Genomic DNA, 26904 nt, shown 5'->3' on the forward strand with positions numbered 1-26904 from the left:
CACTTTGGGAGGCCAAGGCGGGCGGATCACAAGGTCAAGAGATCGAGACCATCCTGGCTAACACGGTGAAACCCCGTCTCTACTAAAAATACAAAAAAATTAGCCGGGCATGGTGGCAGGCACCTGTAGTCCCAGCTACCCGGGAAGCTGAGGCAGGAGATTGGCGTGAACTCAGGAGGCAGAGCTTGCAGTGAGCTGAGATCGCATCACTGCACTCCAGCCTGGGAAACAGAGTGAGAGTCTGTCTCGAAAAAAAAAAAAAAATTCTGTAGGATCAGAGATTCATTTATAGATTTTTGTCCTCTAGACGTGCAAATAATTCTTATGTGGCAAAACAGATAACCTTAAGACGTAACAGCGTATGGCCCTGTTGGACTTTGATATTTTTATCTAACTAGCAATCTATCCTCATATAAATATCCTAGCTTCTCAAATACCCTTTGAACTAATTTTAACATCTTACTGGTTAATTCATTAATTAATAAGTTGAATAAAATATTTGATATGTATGTATTTTATACTTGCATCAGTCATGACATTATCTTTTAAAAAAAAATAAGGTGTGCTGGGCGCGGTGGCTCAGGCCTGTAATCCCAGCACTTTGGGAGGCCGAGGCAGGTGGATCACAAGGTCAGGAGTTCAAGACCAGCCTGGCCAAGATGGTGAAACCCCGTCTCTACTAAAAATACAAAAATTAGCTGGGCGTGGTGGTGGGCGCTTGTAATCCCAGCTACTCGGGAGGCTGAGGCAGAGAATTGCTTGAACCCAGGAGGCAGAGGTTGCAGTGAGCCGAGATCACACCACTGCACTCCAGCCTGGGCAACAGAGCGAGACTCTATCTCAAAAAACAAAAAAAAAATTTAGGTGAAATTCATGTTACAGAAAATTAACCATTTTAAAGTGAACAAATCAGCAGAATTTAGAACATCTACAGCGTTGTGCAACCACCATTTCTATCTAGTTCCAAAACACTTTCACTACCTCAAAAAAAAATCCTTTATCCATTAAGCAGAAGGAATTTCATTCCCTCCTCCCCCTAGCCCCTGGCAACTCCCAATCTGCTTTTTGATTCAGTGAATTTATCTATTCTGGATATTTTATACAAATGGAATCATACCATATGAGACCTCTTGTGTCTAACTTCTTTCACTTGCCATAATGTAGACACTTACTTTCCCCTTCCCCTTCCCCTTCCCCTTTCCCTTCCCTTCCTTTCCTTTCTTTTCCTTTTCTTTCCTTTTATTTCCTTTTTCTTACAGCATCTTGCTCTGTTGTCCATGCTGGAGTGCAGTGGCATGATCTTGGCTCACTGCAGCCTCCACCTCCCAGGCTTCAGTGATCCTCTGGCCTCAGCCTCCTGAGTAGCTGGGATTACAGATGCACACCACCATGCTCAGCTAATTATTTCACATTTTTTGTAGAGACGGGGTTTCGTCACATTGCCCAGGCTGGTTTTGAGCTCCTGGGCTCAAGCGATTCACCCACCTCAGCCTCCCAAAGTGTTGGGATTACGATCATGAGCTACCGCGCCCAGCCAGCATAATGTTTCAAGTTTCACTCTCCTTATAACATATATCAGTATTGCTGAGTAATATTCTATGACATGGATACACCAAATTTTTTTTTTTTTTTTTGAGACAGAGTCTCCTCTGTCGCCGAGGTTGGAGTACAGTGGCGCAATCTTGGCTGACTGCAACCTCCGCCTCCTGGGTTCAAGCGATTCTCCTGCCTCAGCCTCCCGAGTAGCTGGGACTACAACCACGAGCCACCATGCCCAGCTAATTGTTGTATTTTTAGTAGAGACGGGGTTTCACTACGTTGGCCAGGCTGGTCTCAAACTCCTGACCTCAAGTGATCCGCCCACCTCCATCCCCCAAAGTGCTGGGATTACAGGCGTGAGCCACCGCACCTGGCCCCATAATCTAAATTTTAGAGGAAGAATTTATTTCCACACTCTTACTGTAATCCCTAGGTATTGACAGCAGAAGAAAATCACATTATTCTTCTAAGATTTGCATTCCAAAAGGTGAAGGATATGTGGTCTTCTGTAGCAGGTCCATTAAGCGGGAATATTGAATGAAACAGCTGCACTGCACTCTATATACAATGGAAAGCAATGGGGCAGCACCAGGAAACCAGCTGTTTAGTATTCTGTAGTGAGGAGCTGTATTGTGCATTCAGTAGTAGCTGACATGATGTGCATTTTAAGAAGAATTTTATTCCTTTATTTATTTATTTTTGAGATGGAGTCTTGCTCTGTCGCCGAGGCTGGAGTGCAGTGGCTTGATCTCGGCTGATTGCGACCTCCACCTCCTGAGTTGAAGCGATTCTTCTGCCTCAGCCTCCCGAGTAGCTGGGATTACAGGCATACACCACCACGCCCCGGCTAGTTTTTGTATTTTCAGTAGAGATAGAGTTTCACCATGTTGGCCAGGATGGTCTCGAACTCCTGACCTCAGGTGATTTGCCCACCTCAGCCTCCCAAAGTGCTGGGATTACAGGCATGAGTCACCGTGCCTGGCCTGTTGCTTTTTCTTGAAGGTGAGTTAGCTCTTTTAAAGTTACTTAATTCTTAAAATCCTCAAAAATTCTAATTGAATCTAATGCTAAAAGCTCGATCAAATAAAATTAGTCTACATCATATTTCTTTAATCGTTTTTAGTTTCTGTACTTGCAAATGACATTTAAGCATTTAAAAAAGAAAATCATTATGAAACTAGAAAGTTTTCCCTCATAGTTCAAGAAAAATGTCCAAAGTTCAAGTTAAGGTATTAAATTGAACGGGGTACTAAATTTAGAGATATTAGATTTCTTTTTTTTTTTTTTTTTTTTTTGAGATGAAGTCTCGCTCTGTCACCCAGGCTGGAGTGCAGTGGCGCGATCTCGGCTCACTGCAAGCTCCGCCTCCCGGGTTCACGCCATTCTCCTGCCTCAGCCTCCCAAGTAGCTGGGACTACAGGTGCCCGCCACCATGCCCGGCTAATTTTTTTGTATTTTTAGTAGAGACGGGGTTTCACTGTGTTAGCCAGGATGGTCTCAATCTCCTGACCTCATGATTAGCCCGCCTCAGCCTCCCAAAGCTCTGGGATTACAGGCATCCCGAAGCACCGCTCCTCGCCACGATAATAGATTTCTTAAAGACAAAGATGATTTTTACCATAGAGTTGGTACTTGCCACACATTAAATAAGGCTGTATATATGGCAATACGAAAAAATTAAGAAAAGGTGCTTCTGTGTCAACTTTCTTCCTCCTAGTAGGTAAAGCTGTCCTTATTGAGAACATTGTTTCTTTTTTGAAATGGAGTCTCACTCCATCACCCAGGCTGGAGTGCAGTGGCACAATCTCGGCTCACCTCAACCTCTGCCTTCCGGGTTCAAGTGATTCTCCAGCCTCAGCCTCCCGAGTAGCTGGGATTACGGGTGCATGCCACCACGCCTGCTAATTCTTTGTTTTTTTAGCAGAGATGGGGTTTCACCATGTTGGTCAGGCTGGTCTCAAACTCCTGACCTCAGGTGATCCACCTGCGTCGGTCTCCCAAAGTGCTGGGATTACAGCGTGAGCCACTGTGCTGGGCCGAGAACATTATTTCTACACCCTAGTTTCCGAAGAAAAGTTGGCCCAGATGTGCTTTTCTGGATACGTAAATAATGTATGTTTATTTAGCTATTTTTATTATTCATACCGAATAATCCCTTTTTATTTGTACCCAGTGATGCCAAATGAGCTTTCAATTTTTTGGTTTTAAAATCCTAAAACGTCCTTAATGGGTTTTGGACCGAAGACCATCTATTGAGAAAATAGGAGCGCCAACTTTAATCATAATTGCTCAACTGGGACTCATGCACACGATACATACCCAATGTGGCTGAAATGACCCAATAGCGTTGGTCACGAGAAATGCCTCTTCTGTTGGCTCTTGCTCTCCTTGGCAATCGGTACAAAAAGATAGGAGTTTTTGAGGAATTGTCTTTACGTTTAGTGGGGTAAGATTTAAAACAGTAAGGCTGGGCACAGTGGCTCATGCCTGTAACCCCAGCTCTTTGGGAAGCCAAAACGGGAGGATTGCTTAAACCCAGGAGTTCAAGATCAGCCTGGGCAACATGACGAGATCCTGTCTCTACAAAAAGTTAAACAAACAAACAAAAAACACAGCCAGGCATGATGGCACATGGCTGTAGTCATAGCTACTCAGGAGGCTGAGGCAGGAGCATCACGTGAGCCCAGAAGTTCGAGGCTTCAGTGAGCAATGAGCTCTCCAGCCTGGGTGACAGAGCAAGAACCTGTCTCTAAAATAATAATAATCGGCTGGGCACGTTGGCTCACGCCTGTAATCCCAGCACTTTGGGAGGCTCAGAAGGGCAGGCTACCTGAGGTCAGGAGTTCGAGACCAGCCTGGCCAAAATGGTGAAACCCAGTTCCTACTAAAAATACAAAAATTAGCCGGGCATGGTGGCGTGTGCCTGTAGTCCCAGCTACTCGGGAGGCTAAGGCAGGAGAATCGCTTAAACCCAGGAGGCGGAGGTTGCAGTGAGCCAAGATTGTGCCACTGCACTCCAGCCTGGGCGACAAAGCAAGACTCCATCTCAAATAAAATAAAATAAAATAATAATTATCATAATAAAATAGTAACAGCTGAGGCCGGGCGCTGTGGCTCATGCCTGTAATCCCAGCACTTTGGGAGGCCGAGGCGGGTGGATCACGAGGTCAAGAGATCGAGACCATCCAGGCCAACATAGTGAAACCCCGTCTCTACTAAAAATACAAAAAAATAGCCGGGTGTGGTGGCAGGCGCCTGTAGTCCCAGCTACTCAGGAGGCTGAGGCAGGAGAATGGCATGAACCCAGGAGGCGGAGCTTGCAGTGAGCCGAGATCACGCCACTGCACTCCAGCCTGGGCAACAGAGTGAGACTCTGTCTCAAAAATAAATACATAAATAAATACATAAATAAATAAATTAAATTAAATTAAATAGTAACAGCTTTACCAGGAATTGTCCCTGCCTGGTCTACCACATCACTCCTTTGCACATACATATCCTTTTGGTTTTAAAATATGCATGCTGAATGAAAGGTACATGAAAGGTCTTTGCACTATCTGTGCAATTTCCTCTAACTATAATTATTTCCAAAAAAAGAAGCCAAAATGCAGATATACCCAAAATAATTGAAAACAGGACCTTAAGCAGATACCTGTATGTCCATATTCATAACGTCACTAGTCACAATAGCCCAAATAAAATGGCTGGGCATGGTGGCTCATGCCTGTAATCCCAGCACTTTGGGAGGCCGAGGTGGGCGGATCACCTGAGGCCAGGAGTTCGAGACCAGACTGGTCAACATGGTGAGACCCTGTCTCTACTAAAAATGCAAAAATTACCCAGGTGTGGTGGCATGCATCTGTAATCCCAGCTACTCGGGAGGCTGAGGCAGGAGAATTGCTTGAACCCAGGAGGCGAAGGTTGCAGTGAGCCGAGATTGCACCATTGCACTCCAGCCTGGGTGACAGAGCGAGACTCCCTCTCAAAAAACAAACAAACAAAAAAGCAAAAACCCAAAAAAGAAAACAACCCAGGTGACCATCAACAGATGAATGAACAGAAGTGGTACGTGCATATAATCGAATGCTCTTCAGCCTTTAAGAGGAAAGATGTCTGACACAGGTTACAAGGGATGAACCTTGAAAACATGATGCTAAGTGAAAGAAGCCAGACATGAAGAGGCACTTACTGTCTGATCCCATTTACACAAAATATCTAGAATAGGCAAATCCATAGAGACTGAAGGTAGAATAAAGATTGCCAGGGGCTGGGGAAAGGGGGAAATGGGCACTTACTGCTTAATGGTTACAGAGTTCCTGTTTGGGGTGTTGAAAAAAGTTTAGAAAATAGGGCCGGGCGCGGTGGCTCACGCCTGTAATCCCAGCACTTTGGGAGGCCGAGGCAGGTGGATCACCTGAGGTCAGGAGTTCCAGACCAGCCTCAACATGGAGAAACCCCGTCTCTACTAAAAATACAAAATTAGCTGGGCGTGGTGGTGCATGCCTGTAATCCCAGCTACTCAGGAGGCTGAGGCAGGAATTGCTTGAACCTGGGAGGTGGAGGTTGTGGTGAGCTGATGGTGCCATTGCACTCCAGCCTGGGCAGCAAGAGCAAAACTCCGTCTCAAAAAAAAAAAAAAAAAAAGTTTAGAAAATAGATAGTGGTGACGATTGCACATTTTGAATGCCATTAATGCCATTGAGTTGTGCACTTAAAAAGGGTTAAAGAAGGGTCTGGATGTGGTGGCTCACGCCAGTAATCCCAGCACTTTTGGAGGCCAAGCTGGGCGGATCACCTGAGGTTGGGAGTTCAAGAACAGCCTGACCAACATGGAGAAACCCTGTTTCTACTAAAAATACAAAAATTAGTCGGGCATGTTGGCAGGTGCCTGTAACCCCAGCTACTTGGGAGGCTGAGGCAGGAGAATCGCTTGAACCTGGGAGGCAGAGGTTGCGGTGAGTTGAGATCACGCCATTGCACTCCAGCCTGGGCAACAAGAGTGAAACTCCATCTCAAAAAAAGAAGAGAAAAAAAAGAGTTAAAGTGGCAAATTTTATATTTATTTATTTCACGGCAAGTTTGTAAAAAGTCAATATACAGAGAATTTTTGTTTTGAGACAGGGTCTTGTTCTGTCCCCCCAGGCTGGAGTGCAGTGGCATGATAACAGGTCACCACAGCCTCAACTTCCTGGCGATATAGGAGTTAAGAAGCAATTACTGGCCTGGTGCGGTGGCTCATGCCTGTAATCCTAGCACTTTGGGAGGCAGGCAGATCACTTGAGGTCAGGAGTTTGAGACCAGTCTGGCCAACGTGGTGAAACCCCGTCTCTACTACAAATACAAAAATTAGCCGGGCATGGTGGTGCACATCTATAATTCCGGCTACTCGGAAGGCTGAGGCGGGATAATCGCTTGAACCCGGGAGACGGAGGTTGCAGTGAGCCCAGATCGTGTCACTGCACTCCAGCCTGGGAGACAGAGCAAGACTCTGTCTCAAAAAAAAAAAGAAAAGAAAAGAAATTACTTAGGCAGATAGTGAGGGTACAGGAGTCCTTGGAAGGTTTTCCTTTTAGTAAAAAGCACCCCCAAAATCATTTTCTTTTCTAACAAAGAGCAGCCTGTAAAATCAAGCTGCAGACATAGATAAGCAAGCTGGAAGCTTGCACGGGTGAATGCCGGCAGTTATGCCAATAGGAAAAGGCTACCTGGGAACAAGCAGGCTCAAAATGGTGGCTTCATCTTCCCTTCTCTTTGCCAAACCATGAGTACAATAAGGAGAGGACAAAAGGGATCCCCGGCCAGGCAAAGATCCTATTTGCATAATAAGATTAGGGTGGGGCAACCAGCCTTCCCAGCACACTATGTAAATGTCACACCTGATGGAACCAATCTGTGGGTCCTATGTAAATCAGACACCACCTCCTCAAGCCTGCCTATAAAATATAGTGCAGTCCCTGGAGGGCATGGTTTTCCTTTTGGAAGCCCCTTTCTCTGGCAAGGGAGAAAGCTGTTCTCCTTTCTCTCTTTTTTTTTTTCTATTAAAGCTTCCCTCCTAAACTCACTTCTCATGTGTGTCCATGTCCTTAATCTTCTTGGTGTGAGATGACAAACCCTGGGTATTTACCCCAGACAATGACTCTGCTTCACTGGGCTCAGGTGATCCTCCCCTCCCTAGTAGCTGAGATTACAGGTACATACCACCATGCCTGGCTAATTTTAAATTTTTTTGTAGAGATGTAGACTCACCATGTTGCCCAGGCTGGTCTCAAACTCCTGGGCTCAAGCCATCTGCCAGCCTCAGCCTCCCAGGGTCCTAAGGTTATAGGCATGTGCCACTGCAACCCACCCAGTGTTTAATTTTCAAAAGGTGAGCAGCTCATAGGTGAATTTAAAACCTTAACTTAGTTGTTAACACAGGATGATGCTATCATCAAAGAAATGATAATGTGTCTTAAAAACATTGTATTGTAAAGTTTATTCATACATAATTAAAACAGAAAATTATCCGCATAGCTATCTTAACCCTCCTTTTACTATATTAATGCTGGACTGACCAAAATTATTTTTTCCATATAATGAAGACAACTTCTATTTCCAATTTAATGAGTGGGTGTATGAGGAAAAGAAGCAATTTGCTATAGCTCAGATTACAGTGCTTTTTAGTTCTTTATTATTATTATTATTATTATTTGAAACAGAGTCTTGCTCTGTCACCCAGGCTGGAGTACAGTGGTGCAGTCTCAGCTCACTGCAACCTCAATCTCCTGGGCTCAAGCAACTCTCATGCCTCAGCCTCCGGAATTGCTGGGATTACAGGCATGTGTCACCATACCCAGCTAATTTTTTCTATGTTTAGTAGAGATGGGGTTTCGCCATGCTGCCCAGGTTGGTCTCGAACTCCTGGCCTCAAGTGATCTGCCTGCCTCAGCCTCCCAAAGTGCTAGGATTACAGGTGTGGGCCACCGCGCCCAGCCTAAGTTCTTTAATTCCAACTTCTTAATATCTCTGGTGTGTATCCTTGTTTCTCCAAACTAACAGCCACTGCCTTTGTCCAGCCTAATACAGCTAATTTTGTAAAATCAAGTTTATTGACATATAATTCACATAGAATAACATTATTTTTAAGTGTACAGTTTCATGAGTTTTGACAAATGTAAAGAGTTGTAAAATCAAGGTTTACAAAATCTGCATTTGGTATCAGGGTGACGTCACCGAGTCCTTTCCTGGGGCAGCCTTCCATGGCTCTTGGTACATAGGTCAACACAGCATTCCCAGGTGTGAGATGTACTATCACCAGAACCGAAGGGGCATTGTGTTTCTTTTGTCATGGGGAAGTTGTGAGAAATAATATTTTGGGCTGGGTGCAGTGGCTCACACCTGTAACCCCAGCACTTTGGGAGGCTGAGGAGGTCAGGAGTTCAAGACCAGCCTGGCCAATGTGGTGAAACCCCGTCTCTACTAAAAATACAAAAATTAGCTGGGTGTGGTGGTGGGCACCTGTAGTCCAAGCTACTCAGGAGGCTGAGGCAGGAGAATTGCTTGAACCTGGGAGGTGGAGGTTGCAGTCAGCTGAGATCGCGCCATTACACTCCAGCCTGGGCCACAGAGTGAGACTCCGTCCCAAAAAAAAGAAAAAAAAGAAAGAAAGAAAAAGAAAATAAACAGTATTTTGATCTTTACTTTGTAAGGAATGTCCCAGCATGCTTCAGGCCAGGCCCTCTAAAACCTTCACTGATCTGCCAGGCCCTAGATCTTCACAGAGTTTCTCTCTGGCTCTTTGGAGCATGAGTCTTACCAAGTCCCTCTATATACTTGTCACCTCTTGTTCATTTTGTCTGATTCACCTCCTGTCATCAATATTGTGGCCTAGTGGGATGCTCTGCAGGATGTCCAGATGGTCCAGCTGCTTTTGGGATGTCTCCTGACAGAAGAGGAAGAGTTAACAGAGCCTGGAGAAAAGCTGTAATACTATTGTCCATCCTAAGTGGATGTCAACTGATTCTGATAAGGAGAGAAAAGAATGCATTTGTTAGGCCAGTAGCACCTATCACAGGCCTGGGGCCATGTCAGTCTCTTTTAGCAGAGACACCTTAAGTGGCATCACAGCTGCAATTGAGGCTACCACTTGGTGTGTGTTCAGCAGTTCACTGTCACTCTCTAGACCCTGTCTGGTTTTGGTAGGGGTTAGACTGGAAAACTGAAAGGACACAGAATGGGGATTGCCACCTGTGCATTCATTCTGTCTTTAAGGGTGCCGCTTATCTCTGCCCTTCCTCGCAGGATGTGATGGTGTTTTCAATTTTCTGTTTGGCCAGTAAAGAGTAAGAAGCCGGGGGGGAGGGATAGCATTGGGAGATATACCTAATGCTAGATGACACATTAGTGGGTGCAGCGCACCAGCATGGCACATGTATACATATGTAACTAACCTGCACAATGTGCACATGTACCCTAAAACTTAGAGTATAATAAAAAAAAAAAAAAAAAAAAAAAAAAAAAAAAAAAACAACCCCATACTCAGCCAGCAGAAAGAGGAGAAGCAGCTGGACGTTGAAGACTGCGTCTGGATGTCAGAGAGAAGTGGCTTGACTTCAGACGGACAGCTTGACAGGGTAATCTCAGAGAATAATCTGGCTGGAGATGGCCGGATTTCAGGGGAAGACTACCTTCCCGTCCCCTCCCCTTTTCACCTCCCCTTCCTGCTGAGAGCCACTTTCACTGGCAATAAAATCCCCCGCATTTACCGTCAAAAAAAAAAAAAAAAAAAAAAAAAAAAAGAGTAAGAAGCGGGTTAGAGGCTTCTCGATAGGCTTTCTCACTATGATATGTCACAGGTTAAGAGACTAATGTGGGGGTTCGCCAACTCCAAGTAGGTCCATCGAATGATATATTTGGGGGTTGAGAAATGACCATGGACCCCTGACACACTGTGAGCTGGTTGTGACTCAAGACTTCATTTCTTTCTGTCTTTTTTTTTTTTTTTTGAGACCGAGTCTCACTCTGTCGCCAGGCTGGAGTGCAGTGGCGCAATCTCAGCTCACTGCAACCTCCGTCTCCTGGGTTCAAGTGATTCTCCTGCCCCAGCCTCCCGAGTAGCTGGGACTACAGGCATGCGCCACCATGCCCAGCTAATTTTTGTATTTTTAGTAGAGACAGGGTTTCACCATGTTGGCCAGGATGGTCTCGATCTCTTGACCTTGCGATTCGCCCACCTCAGCCTCCCAAAGTTCTGGGATTACAGGCGTGAGCCACAGTACCCGACCAACTTCATTTATTTCTTGGTCTCCACATATTAACATCCTCTAATGGGCAGTTGGGGGAGGGGTAGTGATGACAATTTGGGTCCTAGGATATAGCAATGTGAACTCAGATGCTGTGTCCAACAGTCCTTGGAATGCTGGGGTGTAGCCCTTTGCCTGGCGGATGCTCACCCAAGTGAATGGTCATAGTCCTTTAAGGAGAAGGAATGGGGAATCATTACTACGCACACTTGCTGAAGGCTGCAGTTTCCTTCCTCCCAGGACCCAGTTTCTCCTCCAATCTGGGTATAAAAACTGGCTCCAGTTCAGAAACTGGCCAAGGCATCATGACAATCTATTGGGGTGCTTTAATTTTTTCTGACTGTATCGATTAACACCTTACTGATTGTCCATTTATCTTGACTCTAGAGAAGCCATGTTTTGTTAACCATCTCCATAGTTCTGTGCACATCAGGCTCCCTTTGCCACCATTCTCACCTTGTCACTCATGACTTTTGTGCCCATCTTGTTATTCTTTACTTTTTTTTTTTTTTTTTTTAGATGGAGTCTCACTCTGTCACCCAGGCTGGAATGCAGTGGCGCGATCCTGGCTCACTGCAACCTCCGCCTCCCAGGTTCAAGCAATTCTACTGCCTCAGCCTCCTGAGTAGCTGGGATTATAGGCGCCCGCCACTACGCCTGGCTAATTTTTGTATTTTTAGTAAAGACCAGGTTTCACCATGTTGATTAGCCTGGTCTTGAACTCCTGACCTCAGGCGATCCGCTCATAGCCTCCCAAAGTGCTGGGATTACAAGCATGAGCCACCATGCCCGGCCCCATCTTGTTTCTGATGATTAAGTGTCCTGGCCTCTATTATACTAGAATCCTATCATTTCCATTTCTACCAGGGAGCTGAGTTCTGTGACTGCATCTCCTGCTGGAAGCCCTGACCTTTAGAGGACAGCCATCAGAGAGCTGCTGAATGATGTAAGGGTATTTGTCACCAGAGCTTTCCTCATTGCTTTGATCAATGGCATGTCTTCTGGGCCCTCTTGCAGAACAGTCATCTGATGGGTTTTCTGGCCTTATGTGGCACATCCACTCAGTATGCCCATTTCCCTGAGTCTTTTCATCTTTCTTCCACCCTTTGCCACAGCAGTTCTAGCATTTCTTACTGAAGGGGTGGGTTGCCCCTCCACACCTGTGGGTGTTTCTCGTTAGGTGGATTGAGAGACTTGGAAAAGAAAGAGACAGAGAGACAAAGTATAGAGAAAGCAGAAAGGGGGCCCAGGGGACCGGAGTTCAGCATACAGAGGATCCACACCGGCCTCTGAGTTCCCTTAGTATTTATTGATCATTATTGGGTGTTTCTCCGAGAGGGGGATGTGGCAGGATCATAGGATAATAGTGGAGAGAAGGTCAGCAGATAAACACGTGAACAAAGGTCTCTGCATCATAAACAAGGTAAAGAATTAAGTGCTGTGCTTTAGATAGGTATATACATAAACATCTCAATGCCTTAAAGAGCAATATTGCTGCCCGCATGTCCCACCTCCAGCCCTAAGGCGGTTTTCCCCTATCTCAGTAGATGGAACATACAATCGGGTTTTACACCGAGACATTCCATTGCCCAGGGACGGGCAGGAGACAGATGCCTTCCTCTTGTCTCAACTGCAAAGAGGCATTCCTTCCTCTTTTACTAATCCTCCTCAGCACAGACCCTTTACGGGTGTCGGGCTGGGGGACAGTCAGGTCTTTCCCTTCCCATGAGGCCATATTTCGGACTATCACATGGGGAGAAACCTTGGACAATACCTGGCATTCCTAGGCTGAGGTCCCTGAGGCCTTCCGCAGTGTTTTGTGTCCCTGGGTACTTGAGATTAGGGAGTGGTGATGACTCTTAAGGAGCATGCTGCCTTCAAGCATCTGTTTAAAAAATCACATCTTGCACAGCCCTTAATCCATTTAACCCTGAGTTGACACAGCACATGTCTCAGGGAGCACAGGGTTGGGGGTAAGGTTACAGATTAAAATGGGGTCCCTTATGTCTACTTTCTATACAGACACATTAACAATCTGATCTCTCTTTCTTTTCCCCACACTTACTTCACTTAGTGGGGCTTGCTGCTTCCTCCAGACTTCCAAAGGTCATCCTAACAGCATATTAGCACCTGCTCTCCAGGTCCTTGCTGGGGTCTTAAATCCTGTATCTCAGGAGAGTGCTTCCATATTGATAAGTTATTTCTTCTCCAACTGTATGTTTCCACCCCTGTTGTGGTTTAAATGTGTCCCCCCCCAAAGTTCATGTGTTGGAAACTTAATTGCCATTATAACAATATTAAGAGATGGGGCCTTTAAGAGGTAATTATGCCATGAGGGCTGTGCCCTCATGAATGGATTAATGCTGTTATTGTAGGAGGGGATTAGCTATTGTGGGAGTGGGCTCTCCATAAGAGGATGAGTTCACTTGATTTTCTCTCTTTCCCTTGCACCTGCTTGCCCTTCCACTTTTCTGACATATTATGAAGCAGTACACTTTGTATGCCAGAAGCTGCTGTTACGCCCTTGGACTTCCCAGCCTCCGGAGTCTTGAGCCAAATAATTTTTTATAAATTACCCAGTATGTGATATTCTGTTATAGCAACAGAAAATGGGCTAAGACAAACTTGTCAGGCCTCTGAGCCCAAGCCAAGCCATTGCATCCCCTGTGACTTGCACGTATACATCCAGATGGCCTGAAGTAACTGAAGATCCACAAAAGAAGTAAAAATAGCCTTAACTGATGACATTCCACCATTGTGATTTGTTTCTGCCTCACCCTAACTGATCAATGTACTTTGTAATCTCCCCCACCCTTAATAACGTACTTTCTAATCTCCCCCACCCTTGAGAAGGTTCTTTGTAATTCTCCCCACCCTTGAGAATGTACTTTGTGAGATCCACCCCTGCCCACAAAACATTGCTCTTAACTTCACTGCCTATCCCAAAACCTGTAAGAACTAATGATAATCCACCACCCTTTGCTGACTCTCTTTTCGGACTCAGCCCGCCTGCAGCCAGGTGAAATAAACAGCCATGTTGCTCACACAAAGCCTGTTTGGTAGTCTCTTCACATGGATGCGCATGAAACCTTTGTTCCAGCATCCTCAGGATCCAATCCCATATATACTTTTCTGGTTTTTGCTGGCTAGATCCTGTAGTTCCTTTAGAGTTTGGTCTATTTCCCAAGTGAATTTCCCTAGCCAATTATTTTGTAATTTTAACCCTAGTTATTGGTCTGGTGATTAGGAGGGGAGGTGGAGGTAGATCACGTTGTTCTACCTCCTCTTTTACTAATCCTTATTAGTTGTTCACGTTGTTCACGTTGCCTTATAAGGCAGACATCTCTGTAGAATCATCTTCAGGCAAGGTAAGGGTATTCTTTAACACTTCTATAAAATCTAAGGTTTCAGGGGGATCTTGACTTCAAGATTTTTTTTTTTTTTTTTTTTTTTTTTTTGAGACTGAATCCCAGGCTGGAGTGCAGTGGCGCGATCTCGGCTCACTGCAAGCTCCGCCTCCTGGGTTCATGCCATTCTCCTGCCTCAGCTTCCTAAGTAGCTGGGACTACAGGCACCTGCCATCATGCCTGGCTAATTTTTTGTATTTTTAGTAAAGACGGGATTTCGCCATGTTAGCCAGGATGTTCTTGATCTCCTGACCTCATGATCTATCTGCCTCGGTCTCCCAAAGTCCTGGGATTACAGGCGTTAGCCGCTGCACCCGGCCAACTTCAAGATTCTTAAGTACATGGATCCAGTTGTCTCCATCCCTTATCTCAGAGTCCCCCTCTTTTCCAATCCAGTTAGGGGCCTGACATTAGCATAACAGACCAGGTTATTGAGGTTGACTGTTCGACCTCCCCTGGAGCTCCGCTACTCTGGCAATTCCTAGGCCAGATCCTCAAAGCTACTGACACACTGTAGATGAGTCTCTTAATAAGGTGCCAAGGAGGCCCCTCTGGTTTTCACACTTAACCCCCAGTTGGTGATTCATCATTCTAAGCCTTTGTCCTTCTCCTAACTACTGAGCGCCCCAAGAAACAACCAACCATCCAAATTCATTATCTTTTGACTATTTCCACAATATTTCTTTTTTTTTTTTTTTTTTTTTTTCCTGAGACAGAATTTCACTCAGTTCCCCAGGCTGGAGTGCAGTGGCATGATCTTGGCTCACTGCAACCTCTGCCTCCTGGGTTCAAGCAATTCTCTTGCCTCAGCCTCTGGAGTAGCTGGGATTACAGGCACCCACCACCATGCCCAGCTAATTTTTTGTATTTTTAGTAGAGACGGAGTTTCACCATGTTGGCCAGGCTGGTCTTGAACTCCTGACCTTTGGTGATCCACCCCCCCCCGACCCCTTGGCCTCCCAAAGTGCTGGGATTACAAAGCGCTGTAAGTGTGAGCCACCGCACCGGGCCTATTTCCACAAAATTACTTAAAGGTCATTCATTCCCTTCTGATATGGTTTGGCTCTGTGTCCCCATCCAAATCTCATCTTGTAGCTCCTATAATTCCCATGTGTTGTGGGAGAATCCTGGTGAGAATCATGGGGGCAGGTCTTTCCCGTGCTGTTCTTGTGATAGTGAATAGGACTCACAATATCTGATGGTTTTAACAACAGGAGTCCCTCCCCACAAGCCCTCTCTTTGCCTGCCACCATCCACGTAAGATGCAACTTGCTCCTTCTTGCCTTCCACCATAATTGTGGGGCCTCCCCAGCCATGTGGAACTGTGAGTCCAATTAAACCTCTTACTTTCTTCTTTTTTTTTTTTGAGACAGGGTCTCACTCTGCTGTCCAGGCTGGAGTGCAGTGGCACAATCTCGGCTCACTGCAACCTCCACCTCCTGGGTTCAAGCAATTCTCCTGCCTTAGCCTCCTGAGTAGCTGGGATTACAGGTGCATGCCACCACACCCAGCTAATTTTTGTATTTTTAGTAGAGACAGAGTTTCACCAGGTTGGCCAGGCTCATCTCAAATTCCTGACCTCAAGCGATCAGCCTGCCTCGGCCTCCCAAAATACTGGGATTACAGGTGTGAGCCACCACACCCAGCCTAAACCTCTTTCTTTTGTAAATTTCGTAGTCTCAGGCATGTCTTTATCAGCAGCGTGAAAACAGAGTAATACAGCAAATTGGTACCAGTAGAGTCAGGTGCTGCTGAAAAGACACCCAAAAATGTGGAAGCGCCTTTGGAACTGGTAACAGGCAGAGGGTAAGGATATGTTTCTACCCCTGTTGTGGTTTATGTTTCACACAGTTTGGAGGGCTCAGAAGAAGACAGGAACATGTGGGAAAGTCTGGAACTTCCTAGAGACTTGTTGAATGGCTTTGACAAAAATGCTGATAGTGATATGAACAATAAGGTCCAGGCCGAGGTGGTCTCAGATGGAGATGGGGAACTGGATCAAAGGTGACTCTTGTTGTATTTTAACAAAGCGACTGGTGGCATTTTGCCCTTGCCCTAGAAATTTGTGGAACTTTGAGCTTGAGAGAGATGATTTAGGGCATCTGGTGGAAGAAATTTCTAAGCAGCAAAGCATTCAAGAGATGACTGTTAAAGGCGTTCAGTTTTAAAAGGGAAACACGGCATAAAAGTTTGGAAAATTCACAGCCTGATAATGCAAGAGAGAAGAAAATCCCATTTTCTGAAGAAATTCAAGCTGGCTGCAGAAATTTGCATGAGTAACAAGGAAGTGAGTGTTAAGAGCATGTCAGAGACCTTTGCAACAGCCCCTCCCATCACAGGCCCTGAGGCCTAGGAGTAAAAATGGTTTCGTGGGCCAGACCCAGGGTCCCTCTGCTGGGTGCAGTCTAGAAGCTTGGTGCCCTGCATCCCAGCTGCTCCAGCCATCATGAAAAGGGGCCAAGGTACAGCTAGGGCTGTTGCTTCAGACGCTGCAAGCCCCAAGCCTTGGTAGCTTCCATGTGGTGTTGAGCCTGTGGGTGCACAGAAGTCAAGAATTGAGGTTTGGGAATCTCTGCCTAGATTGCAGACGATGTATGTAAATGCCTGGGTATCCAGGCGGAAGTTTGCTGCAGGGGCAGGGCCCTCATGGAGAACTTCTGCTAGGGCAATGCAGCAGGAAAATGTGGGGTCAGAGTCCCCACACAGAGTCCCTACTGGGGCATGGCCTAGTGGGGCTGTGAGAAGTGGGCCACTGTCCTCCAGATCCCAGAATGGTAAATCCACTGACAGCTTGCACCGTGCACCTGGAAAAGCCACAGACAATGCCAGCCCATGAAAGCAGCCAGGAGGGGGGCTATACCCTGCAAAGCCGCAAGGGCAGAGCTTCCCAAGGCCATGGGAGGCCACCTCTTGCATCAGCGTGACCTGGATGTGAGAGATGGAGTCAAAGGAGATCATTCTGGAGCTTTAAGATTTGACCATCCCGTTGGATTTTGGACTTGCATGGGTCTGTAGCCCCTTTGTTGTGGCCAGTTTCTCCCATTTGGAATGGCTGTATTTATCCAATATCTGTACCCCCATTGTATCTAGGAAGTAACTGACTTGGTTTTGATTTTACAGGCTCATAGGTGGAAGGGACTTGCCTTGTCTCAGATGAGACTTTGGACCGTGGACTTTTGAGTTAATGATGAAATGAGCTGAGACTTTGGGGGACTGTTGGAAAGGCATGAATGGTTTTGAAATGTGAAGATATGAGATTTGGGAGGGGTCAGAGATGGAATGACATGGTTTGGCTCTGTGTCCCCACCCAAATCTCATCTTGTAGCTCCCATAATTCCCAAGTGTTGAGGGAGGAACCTGGTGGGAGATGACTGAATCATGGGGGTAGGTCTTTCTGGTGCTATTCTCGTGATAGTGAATGGGTCTCACGAGATCTGATGGTTTCAAAAATGGGAGTCTCGGCTGGGCGCGGTGGCTCATGCCTGTAATCCCAGCACTTTGGGAGGCCAAGGCGGGTGGATCATGAGGTCAGGAGTTTGAGACCAGTCTGACCAACATGTTGAAACCCAGTCTCTACTAAAAACACAAAAATTAGCTGGGCGTGGTGGAGCACGTCTGTAATGCCAGCTACTCAGGAGGCTGAGGCAGGAGAATTACTTGAACCTGGGAGGCAGAGGTTGCAGTGAGCTGAGATCGTGCCACTGCACTCCAGCCTGGGTGACAGAGTGAGACTCCATCTCAAAAAATAATAGTAATAATAATAATGGGAGTCTTTCTGCACAAGCCCTCTCTTTGCCTGCCACCGTTCACATAAGATGTGACTTGCTCCTCCTTGCCTTCCACCATGATTGTGAGGACTCCCTAGCCACATGCAACTGTGAGTCCAGTTAAACCTCTTTCTTTGGTAAATTGCCCAGTCTCAGATATGTCTTTATCAGCAGCGTGAAAATGGACTAATAATATACCTTTCATCAGTCATCCTAGTTCACCAGCAGTTTTAACAACTGCACCCCTACTATATGCTGGGGGCTGTACATGCTCCACCTATTACCAGTGATGGGGTTCTCACTGCCAGCTGGCCAGTTGGTAAGCTGGCTATGAAATCCAGTTTTTTGAGTCAGCTTTCTCAGACCACTTCCAGCACCAACTATCATAGGGACCTAGCTTCCATAGACCAGCTTCCCCCAAAAGCTGACTCTGAAATGGATATTTGCACAGAGAGCTTATTGAGGCTTGCTTGGGAGATCAGCTCCCATAAGCAAGTGAAGGAAGGAGGATTGGGAAGAGGGAGGAGTTGAACCACAATATGGTTGTAACAGAGGCCTCAGTCAATCTTGCGGGAATTCTCCAGAGCTAAAATGGCCCTTCAGAGTTGTCCCAAATTGTAGCAAGAGGACCAGGACTTCATATTCTTATATCAATTTGTCATTGGAAGGGAGGTAGCTCTCTTCAGCTGAAGGTGATCACGGGGAGTGGAGGAAGCGGGTGAGGACACACTCAGCTATGGGTCATTAACACTCTCAGGACTGTTTTTCAGTCTTGAAGGAGACTAGCTGGGTGGCAGACCACAGTGTTCACTAAATAAAATGAAAGAAATATGGGAAAGTGGTAGAATATCTCCTTCCAGTGAGTTAGAAGTATCTGAGGGGCGGAGAGTGGAAGAACTACAAAGGGAAGCTGAGTCCTATTTCTTAAACAGGGCATTTCAGACTGTTATTAAACTGTTCTTCATGTTGGAAAACTTGAAGAAACCAATGTAATCTTGGAAGCTACAATTTGGGAAATGTTTTAGAGACTTTGAGTGTTTACTTTCATTTAATTAAATTATTTTAAGAGACAGTCTTGCCCTGTTCTCCAGGCTGGAGTACAGTGGTGCGATTGTGGCAGGCCAGGTCTCACTAACGCAGGCCTCTGTAACAACTGTTTCAGCACTGACTGAGTGGTGAAGTTCAATATTAAAAGCTGAGAGAGCCAACGCCCTTCTACAAAGGCTGGAACATAATAAAAGCCCATCAAGAGTTTTGCCCAGGCCCTTCCTAGGCCTTAAAGCATGACAAGATAACGCAGAAATTCTTAACAGTACCCGTTTAGAATTAAACAAGCTTTATTCGGGGGGTGGGGGGGCGGGAGGGGGGCGCTGAAGAAACTCCCCAGACCTCCACAAACAAGTTTATTGGGGCATCTGAAGAAATTCCCCAAACCTCCGTGATTTAGCAGGAGACAAGATAAGGGTAGTCACCCCAGCACGTGGACCCATTTAGATTAAGTAAATTTACTGAGGCTCCAGAAGGTCTTCAGGACTTAGATCTTAGTTAATGATTAGAAGTTAATCACTTATGGCCAGGCGCAGTGGCTCACGCCTGTAATCCCAGCACTTTGGGAGGCCGAGGTGGGCGGATCATGAGGTCAGGAAATCAAGATCATCCTGGCTAACACCGTGAAACCCCGTCTGTAGTAAAAAAAAAAACAAAAAAACAAAAAAAACAAAAAAAAAACAAGAAATTAGCAGGGCATGGTGGCAGGTGCCTGTAGTCCCAGCTACTCGGGAGGCTGAGGCAGGAGAATGGCGTGAACCCGGAAGGCGGAGTTTGCAGTGAGCCGAAATCACGCCACTGCACTCCAGCCTAGAGTGAGACTCCGTCTCAAAAAAAAAAAAAAAAAAAAGTTAATCACTTATGTCTTTAGATGAATGCTACTTACACGTAGACACAGCTTAGAAGGTATATATAAGCTCTGGAAAACTCTGTAATTTTGAGTTGGTCTGGCGATATTTTCCAGACCTTTACCCTGTACCCTGTTACAGAAATAAACTGCCTTCTTTCCCAATTCATTTACATCTCGTTACTGGGCCGTGAGAATAAGCAGCCCCACCTGTGGTTTGGTCTGGGAACACAATCACAGCTCACTGTAGCCTCCACCTCCTGGGCTCAAGTGATTCTGCCACCTGGGCCTTTTGTGTAGCTAGGATCACAGGTACGTACCATTATGCTAGGCTAATCTGAGCTATAGCAAATTGTTTTTTCCCTCCCAGCCATTTTAAATTTTTTTGTAGAGATGGGGATCTCACTATCTTGGCAAGGCTCATCTTGAACTCTTGGCCTCAAGGGATCCTCCTGCTTTGGCCTCCCAAAGTGTTGAAATTACAGGTGTGAGCCACCATGCCCAGTCTATTTTTTACGGTGGATATACTCTTGGGAAAAAACTTTTCAGAGTAATGTAAGGTTGGACATGAAGATAGAAACAAAATTCCAGCAGGGTGTGATAATGAAGGGTTGAAAAAGATTAAGCAATTCAACAAGCACTTAAGTTTCTACTATGTAACAAATGATGGATTACAAAGATAAACATGGTCCCTAATTTAGTAAGAATAGCAAGATAATGAAACTTGGAAACTTCAAAGAAATGTCATTCAGTTCTTTCCATATACTAAATACTAAGCTCCAGGCTGTGTGCAGTGGTTCATGCCTGTAATACCAGCGCTTTGGGAGGCTGACGTGGGAGGATCCCTTGAGGCCAGGAGTTTGAGACCAGCCTAGGTAATATAGTGAGACCCTGTCTCTACACTCGCTCTGTCTCCCAGGCTGGAGTGCAGCGGCACAATCATGACTCACTGCAGCCTCAACCTCCCAGGTTCAAGCAATCCTCCTGACTCAGCCTCCCAAGTAGCTGGGATTACAGGTATGAACCACCACATTCAGCCTCTACAAAAAACTTAAAAAATTAGCCAGACATGGTGGCACACGCCTATACTCCCAGCTACTGGGGAGGCTGAGATGGGAGGATTACTTGAGCCCAGGAGTTCAAGGCTGCAGTAAGCACTCCAGCCTGGGTGAGAATGAGACCCTGTCTCAAAAGCAAAAAAAAAAAAAAAAAAAAAAAAAAGCCAGGCGTGGTGGCTCACGCCTGTAATCCCAGTACTTTGGGAGGCCGAGGTGGGTAGATCACTTGAGGTCAGGAGTTCAAGACCAGCTTGACCAACCTGGTGAAATCCCGTCTCTACTAAAAATACAAAATTAGCCGAGCATGGGGGCTCACACCTATAATCCCAGCTACTCAGGAGGCTGAGGCAGGAGAATCATTTGAACCCCGGAGGCAGAGGTTGCAGTGAGCCGAGATCGTGCCATTGCACCCCAGCCTGGGTGACGAGAGGAACTCCGTCTCAAAAAAAAAAAAAAAAAAAAAAAAGGGCCGGGCGCGGTGGCTCACGCCTGTAATCCCAGCACTTTGGGAGGCTGAGGCAGGTGGATCACGAGGTCAGGAGATGGAGGCCATTCTGACTAACACATGGTTAAACCCCGTCTCTACTAAAAATACAAAAAAATTAATCGGGCGTGGTGGCGGGCACCTGTGGTCCCAGCTACTCGGAAGGCTGAGGCAGGAGAATGGCGTGAACCTGGGAGGCGGAGCTTGCAGTGAGCCGAGGTTGCGCCACCGCACTCCAGCCTGGGCAACAGAGCGAGACTCCGTCTCAAAAAATAAAAACAATAAAAAATAAAAAAAAATAAAGCTCTAAGTTAGGAAAATTGTTTAATATCCTCTCAAAAATGCCAAGACCATTTCTCTGCATCACAGAAGGCAGTATGGAAGCAGACTTTCAAACCACTAAACTCCTAAAACAACGGGCTCCGGATGAGCATCTCGCTGTAGCTTTACCGCCACATGTACCTTAACTGATATCCATGTTTTTTTCCCCTAAACATCTAAAACACCAACACATTTCAGTTCTTTTCTAGTCCTTACTACCCATGTTGTCAAGAAGAGTGGTTCTCAAAGTGCGGTCCATGGACCAGTAGTTCGGGTACTGAGAACTTGTTAGAAATTAAAATTCGTGGGCCCCGCTCCATCCCGACTGAGTGTGAATCTGGGGGTGGAGCCCAGCATCTGTGTGTAACAAGCCCCGCGCATATTCTGATGGGCCTTGAGATGAAGAACCACTTGTCAGGTGCCCAATAAAGCACGGCCTAAGCCACCAACCCCAAATCGGGAGTTTAGGAGGGGCAAAGTCCGTCAGCTGGCTTTCGAAACATGTGCAAGGTGTTTTGTCACCGCTTAAAAGGCAGGTTCAGATTCATCCAAAGGATTTGAAAACTTGGTCCACACAAAAACCTGCACACAGATGTTTAGTTTTATTTGTAATTGCCAAAATGTATAAGCAAGGTGTCCCTCAGGAGCTGAATGGATAAACTGTGGTACAACCAGACAATGGAATATTACTCAGCACTAAAGAGAAATAAGCTATCAAGCCATGAAAAGATGTGGAGGAAATGGAAATGCGTATTACTAAGTGAAAGAAGCCGATCTAAAAAAAAAGGCTACCTACTGTGATTCCAACTATATGACATTCTGAAAAAGGGAAAAACTATGGAAACCGTAGACTCACAATTGTCAGGGGATTTGCAGGAAGATATGAACTGGCAGAGAACTGTGGGGCGGTGAAGTATTATGGTAGTATAATGGTGGATACATGCCATTATACATTTGTCCAAACACACAGAATGTACAAGAATGAACCGTAAACTACGGACTTTGGGTGATAATGGTGTCAAAACAGGTTCATTAGCTGTAAAAAATGTGCCACTCTGTGGGGGATGTTGACAATGAGGGAGGTGTGAGAGCAAGGAGGATATGGGAAATTTCTGTACCTTCCACTTACTTTTGCTGTGAATCTAAAATTGCTCTAAAAATATAATAAAGTCTTAAAAGACAAAACAAAAAAGTAGGTTTAGAGAGAGATGATTTGGGGTAAAAATGAAAATTATGGCTTTTTGTTTCAGACAATGAGAACTGAAAAGAGAAGTGATCTTTTAAAGTATGAGTTTATTCTCCAGGTTTTCTTAAATACCCACAAATTAGTGTTTTTATTGCTGCTATATCCAAGAGCTGAAAACAATTTAAAATATGTACTTTTATCACATTTAACACTTACAAGAGAGAAAATGGAACTGTTTGAATTTTAAAGATGTTTTTCAGATTCAGTAACATATGGAAATTGAGGATAATCATAGAAACAGCTATTGAACTCTAAAATAAAAAAATTATATGGAAATAAAAGGTATTTCATTTGAAAAATGGCTCATCACCTCTCCTGCTGGTTAATACACTAATGACAATGAAATGGAATCAAGTGTTATCTTCTCCACATTTAAAACAAAGTGCTTCTTCTCCTGATTGCCAGCTTTAGGTCTGAAATGTAAAACAGGATTAATTGAGGTTCCGAACAACTCAAATATTTCACTATTGTACTTTATGCTAATGAATTATTTTGTAATACTAAGAAAATAAATTGGTAAATACCTCATATATTTGCTGGATTAATGTTTGACAGGAAAAAACACGAAATGGATGAACAGCTGATCGAGTCGAGTGCAATTTGGTCACTGGGACACAGTTACAAATAGCACTGAATCATAATACACAAAGAGCCTAGTGTGTGTTAAAGAAAGACGAAAGAGGAGTTGGGTGCAGTGGCTCATGCCTGTAATCCCAGCACTTTGGGCAGCCAAGGCGGGTGGATCACCTGAGGTCAGGAGTTTGAGACCAGCCCGGCCAACATGATGAAACCATCTCTACTAAAAACACAAAAATTAGCTAGGTGTGGTGGCAGGCGCCTATAATCCCAGCTACTTGGGAGGTTGAGGCAGGAGAACTGCTTGAATATGGGAGGCAAAGGTTGCAGTGAGCCGAGATCGTGACACTGCAATCCAGCCTGGGCAACAAGAGTGAAACTCCGTCTCAAAAAATATGAAAAAAATAAAGAGGAGGAACACTTGCAATCTCTATAGCAACCTATTTGGCCAAATAGTCCAGGTTTGACAAGCCCACAGGTAATGAGTCTCTAGAAAGATGAAGTTATTGAGAAGCTAGTTTCAAATTAGCTCCAATTTTATTTACATGTTAACAATACACAATTTTATCTTCTATCCTTTTCATTCAAAGGAAAATTAAAACCATACTCTGTTAGTGTGAACTTCTGTTTCTGAACTTTCCAGTTTTGTTTTTTTTTTTTTGAGACGGAGTCTCACTCTGTCACCCAGGCTGGAGTGCAATGGTGTGATCTTGGCTCACTGCAACCTCCGCCTCCTGGCTTCAAGGAATTCTCCCACCTCAGCCTCCCAAGTAACTGGGACTACAGGCACACGCCACCACGCCCGGCAAATTTTTGTATTTTTTTTAGTAGAGACAGGGTTTTGCCATGTTGGCCAGGCTAGTCTCGAAATCCTGACCTTAGATGATCCACCCGCCTTGGCCTCCCAAAGTGCTGGGATCCACTGCACCCGGCCTTTTTTGGTTAGTTTTAAAAAGATAAGTGATAGCAGATGTTGATGTTATTAGTGTGACCAATGCATTGAATTTCCAAAGAATAAAATCAGATTACTTCAGTACTGTATGTCATTATTCACAATGACTCACAGGATAAATATGACAGATATCCCACAACTGTCTTCAGTCCTGGGATCATAAAATAGGACAATTGATAATCTTCCATTAAGTGGAAAATTAATTAGGAGAAATGCCATTTCTAGAATGCTGTTTTTCTTTTTCTCTTCATTTGAATTTTTTTAAAGTAGACCTCACACTTTCTTTATTTAAGTATCATTTTAAATAACCTTCTAACATTGTTTTTTCTATTTTCTCTGAAATAAATCAAATTAAACTTGCAAAATTCGTTCACACCAATTCATCTCAGGTGTTTCTTTGACAGCAAGCTACTTTTAATTCCGTGAAAATATTTTAATACTACACCACTTACTATGAGGGTGGCCTGACGTCTTTTTGCCATTTTTTTAAAGCATTAAAAAAAATTAGGTTATCCAGTGTTCATATAATGGAACTAAAAGTTCCTACAGAGATAATGAATTTGGAACAATAATGATGTAATCAGACTTACAAGTTAAAGCCACAAATAAGCCTTATAAAAACAACTTTATGTTAAATTTAAACCCATATAAAGAAAGGGGAGAGGAAGAAGAGCAAAAAAAAAAAAAAAAAAAAAGTAGTCACTATCCCTATAGAGCGGACTTAACACCCAATAAACTGTGTCAATTATGTCAGCTGATTCTGTTGAACAACTGATCAAGTGAGAGGATGAGGGCTGAAAGCAATCAAGCTACTGTGATTGGAACCAGCCGGACTCAAAAAAAAAAAAAAAAAAGTCTACAGTTTACCAGCATACACACTCAGTCTAGACTTTCCGCCACAATATCAAAGTACAAATTCTTCACAAATCACAACTCTATCCCAAATGTTCTTGTATGCTCTATGTTGCTTTTCTATTCTACTAAATGACTGATAGCTTTACAATGAGATTTGTTTTATTTAAAAAACACTTGCCAAATCACTACCCCACAAAATGTTGAGAATCAGAGGTAACTGTAGAAAGGAAATATGTATATACTGCTTTTATTATTGGAATATGTTTGTTAGTTGAATGAAAACAAACAGTAGCTAAAAAGGTTTCAAATGATAGAAAAACATATCTGGGTAAGTTATGACACAACTTTTTGTGTATTCAGACGACAGAAATCTGTATTTTTGCACCAATTGCAAATGCAAAGTTAACAATGAACTTGGGGAACTGAAAGGTCAAAGGGAGTCTCAAACATATTCACTATTTTAAAATTTAAGACAAAGAAGCTTAGAAAAAAAACCCCAACATATACACCATTATAACAGTCTTTTTTTAATGACTTCCAATTTTAACTTTTTTCTAAAGCACTAAGACCCTTATTGTAGATTATGTATCATCTCCTCTTTGGCTATGAGATGCGTAGTTTTGTTAACCAGAGACATTAATGAGTTCAGTTTCTGAGACCAGTCATTTAATAAATTATTTGGATCCTTGGGTCTCTGGAAGTTGATAATTCCTGCTAATCTGTCTACTTTAGCAAAGATGGTCTTGTTAACTACTAGATTTGAGAGAAAGGCTTCGGACTCCTGCAAGAGAGAAAGATAAATTGGATTAAGACAGGATAAATTACAGACAATAAACAAAACTTCAGAAAAGCATTTTCTGAACTCTTCATCCAAGAATATGCAGGGGAATTCATTCTTAAGAGTTAGTAACACTCAGCTGGGTGTGGTGGCTCACACCTGTAATCCCAGCACTTTGGGAGGCTGAATTGGGTGAATCACTTGAGGTCAGGAGTTCAAGACCAGCCTGAGCAACATGGTGAAACCCCATCTCTACTAAAAATACCAAAATTAGCCAGGCATGGTGGCACACGCCTGTAGTCCCAGCTACTCAGGAGGCTGAGGCAGGAGAATCGCCTGAACCCTGGGAGGTAGAGGTTGAAGTGAGCTGAGATCGCACCAATGCACTCCCACCTGGGCGACAAGGTGAGACTCTGCCTCAAAAAAAAAAAAAAAAAAAAAAAAAGAGTTAGCAACTGCTGACTTCCTATAATAAGTACTTATTTTACTGATAGTCTAGGGAATGAATAGAATCTGAGTAGACTCAGTCAGGGGTGAGTTTGAATCTGCCTCCTTGCAAGCTCAATACTGCTGGTATCCATGCCAACGGCAAGTTGGTCTACTCCCTTTTCTACAAAGTTTCCCCTTAAAAGGCAGTATGGTACAGTTAATTTGTTTCCAGAAATGCTGGGTTAGAATATATGCTCTGCTACTTGGCAAGTATGTACCACGGACAAGACACTTGACTTCTAAGGACTCTGGTACTC

At 44.5% G+C, this 26904-nt stretch overlaps 1 protein-coding gene across 3 annotated transcripts in view, besides 4 other annotated features; it reads right to left on the reverse strand.

Annotated features, from left to right (window-relative positions):
* Positions 7509–7709: a silencer, noted in NCBI's record as "peak2951 fragment used in MPRA reporter construct". NCBI's record gives its function as "represses an SCP1 promoter by STARR-seq MPRAs in K562 erythroleukemia cells {active_cell/tissue: K562}" and the evidence as "EXISTENCE:reporter gene assay evidence [ECO:0000049][PMID:32103011]".
* Positions 9329–9529: a silencer, noted in NCBI's record as "peak2952 fragment used in MPRA reporter construct". NCBI's record gives its function as "represses an SCP1 promoter by STARR-seq MPRAs in K562 erythroleukemia cells {active_cell/tissue: K562}" and the evidence as "EXISTENCE:reporter gene assay evidence [ECO:0000049][PMID:32103011]".
* Positions 12215–12931: an enhancer, noted in NCBI's record as "NANOG-H3K27ac hESC enhancer chr17:65323222-65323938 (GRCh37/hg19 assembly coordinates)". NCBI's record gives its function as "activates a minimal SCP1, AML or CMV promoter by ChIP-STARR-seq in primed H9 embryonic stem cells {active_cell/tissue: H9 hESC(primed)}" and the evidence as "EXISTENCE:reporter gene assay evidence [ECO:0000049][PMID:30033119]".
* Positions 15866–16706: an enhancer, noted in NCBI's record as "H3K27ac hESC enhancer chr17:65326873-65327713 (GRCh37/hg19 assembly coordinates)". NCBI's record gives its function as "activates a minimal SCP1, AML or CMV promoter by ChIP-STARR-seq in primed H9 embryonic stem cells {active_cell/tissue: H9 hESC(primed)}" and the evidence as "EXISTENCE:reporter gene assay evidence [ECO:0000049][PMID:30033119]".
* The window catches only part of PSMD12 (proteasome 26S subunit, non-ATPase 12), a 28662-nt gene continuing 24782 nt past the window's right edge, over positions 23025–26904 (reverse strand). For all 3 annotated transcript variants that reach the window (NM_174871.4, NM_002816.5, NM_001316341.2), the window contains one exon: positions 23025–26161. In NM_174871.4, coding sequence (NP_777360.1) covers positions 25952–26161 — 210 coding nt within the window. In that variant the 3' untranslated portion in view covers positions 23025–25951. The remainder of the gene's footprint in view (positions 26162–26904) is intronic.

Source organism: Homo sapiens, chromosome 17 (assembly GCF_000001405.40).
Source record: "Homo sapiens chromosome 17, GRCh38.p14 Primary Assembly".
NCBI classification, from domain to species: Eukaryota; Metazoa; Chordata; class Mammalia; order Primates; family Hominidae; genus Homo; species Homo sapiens.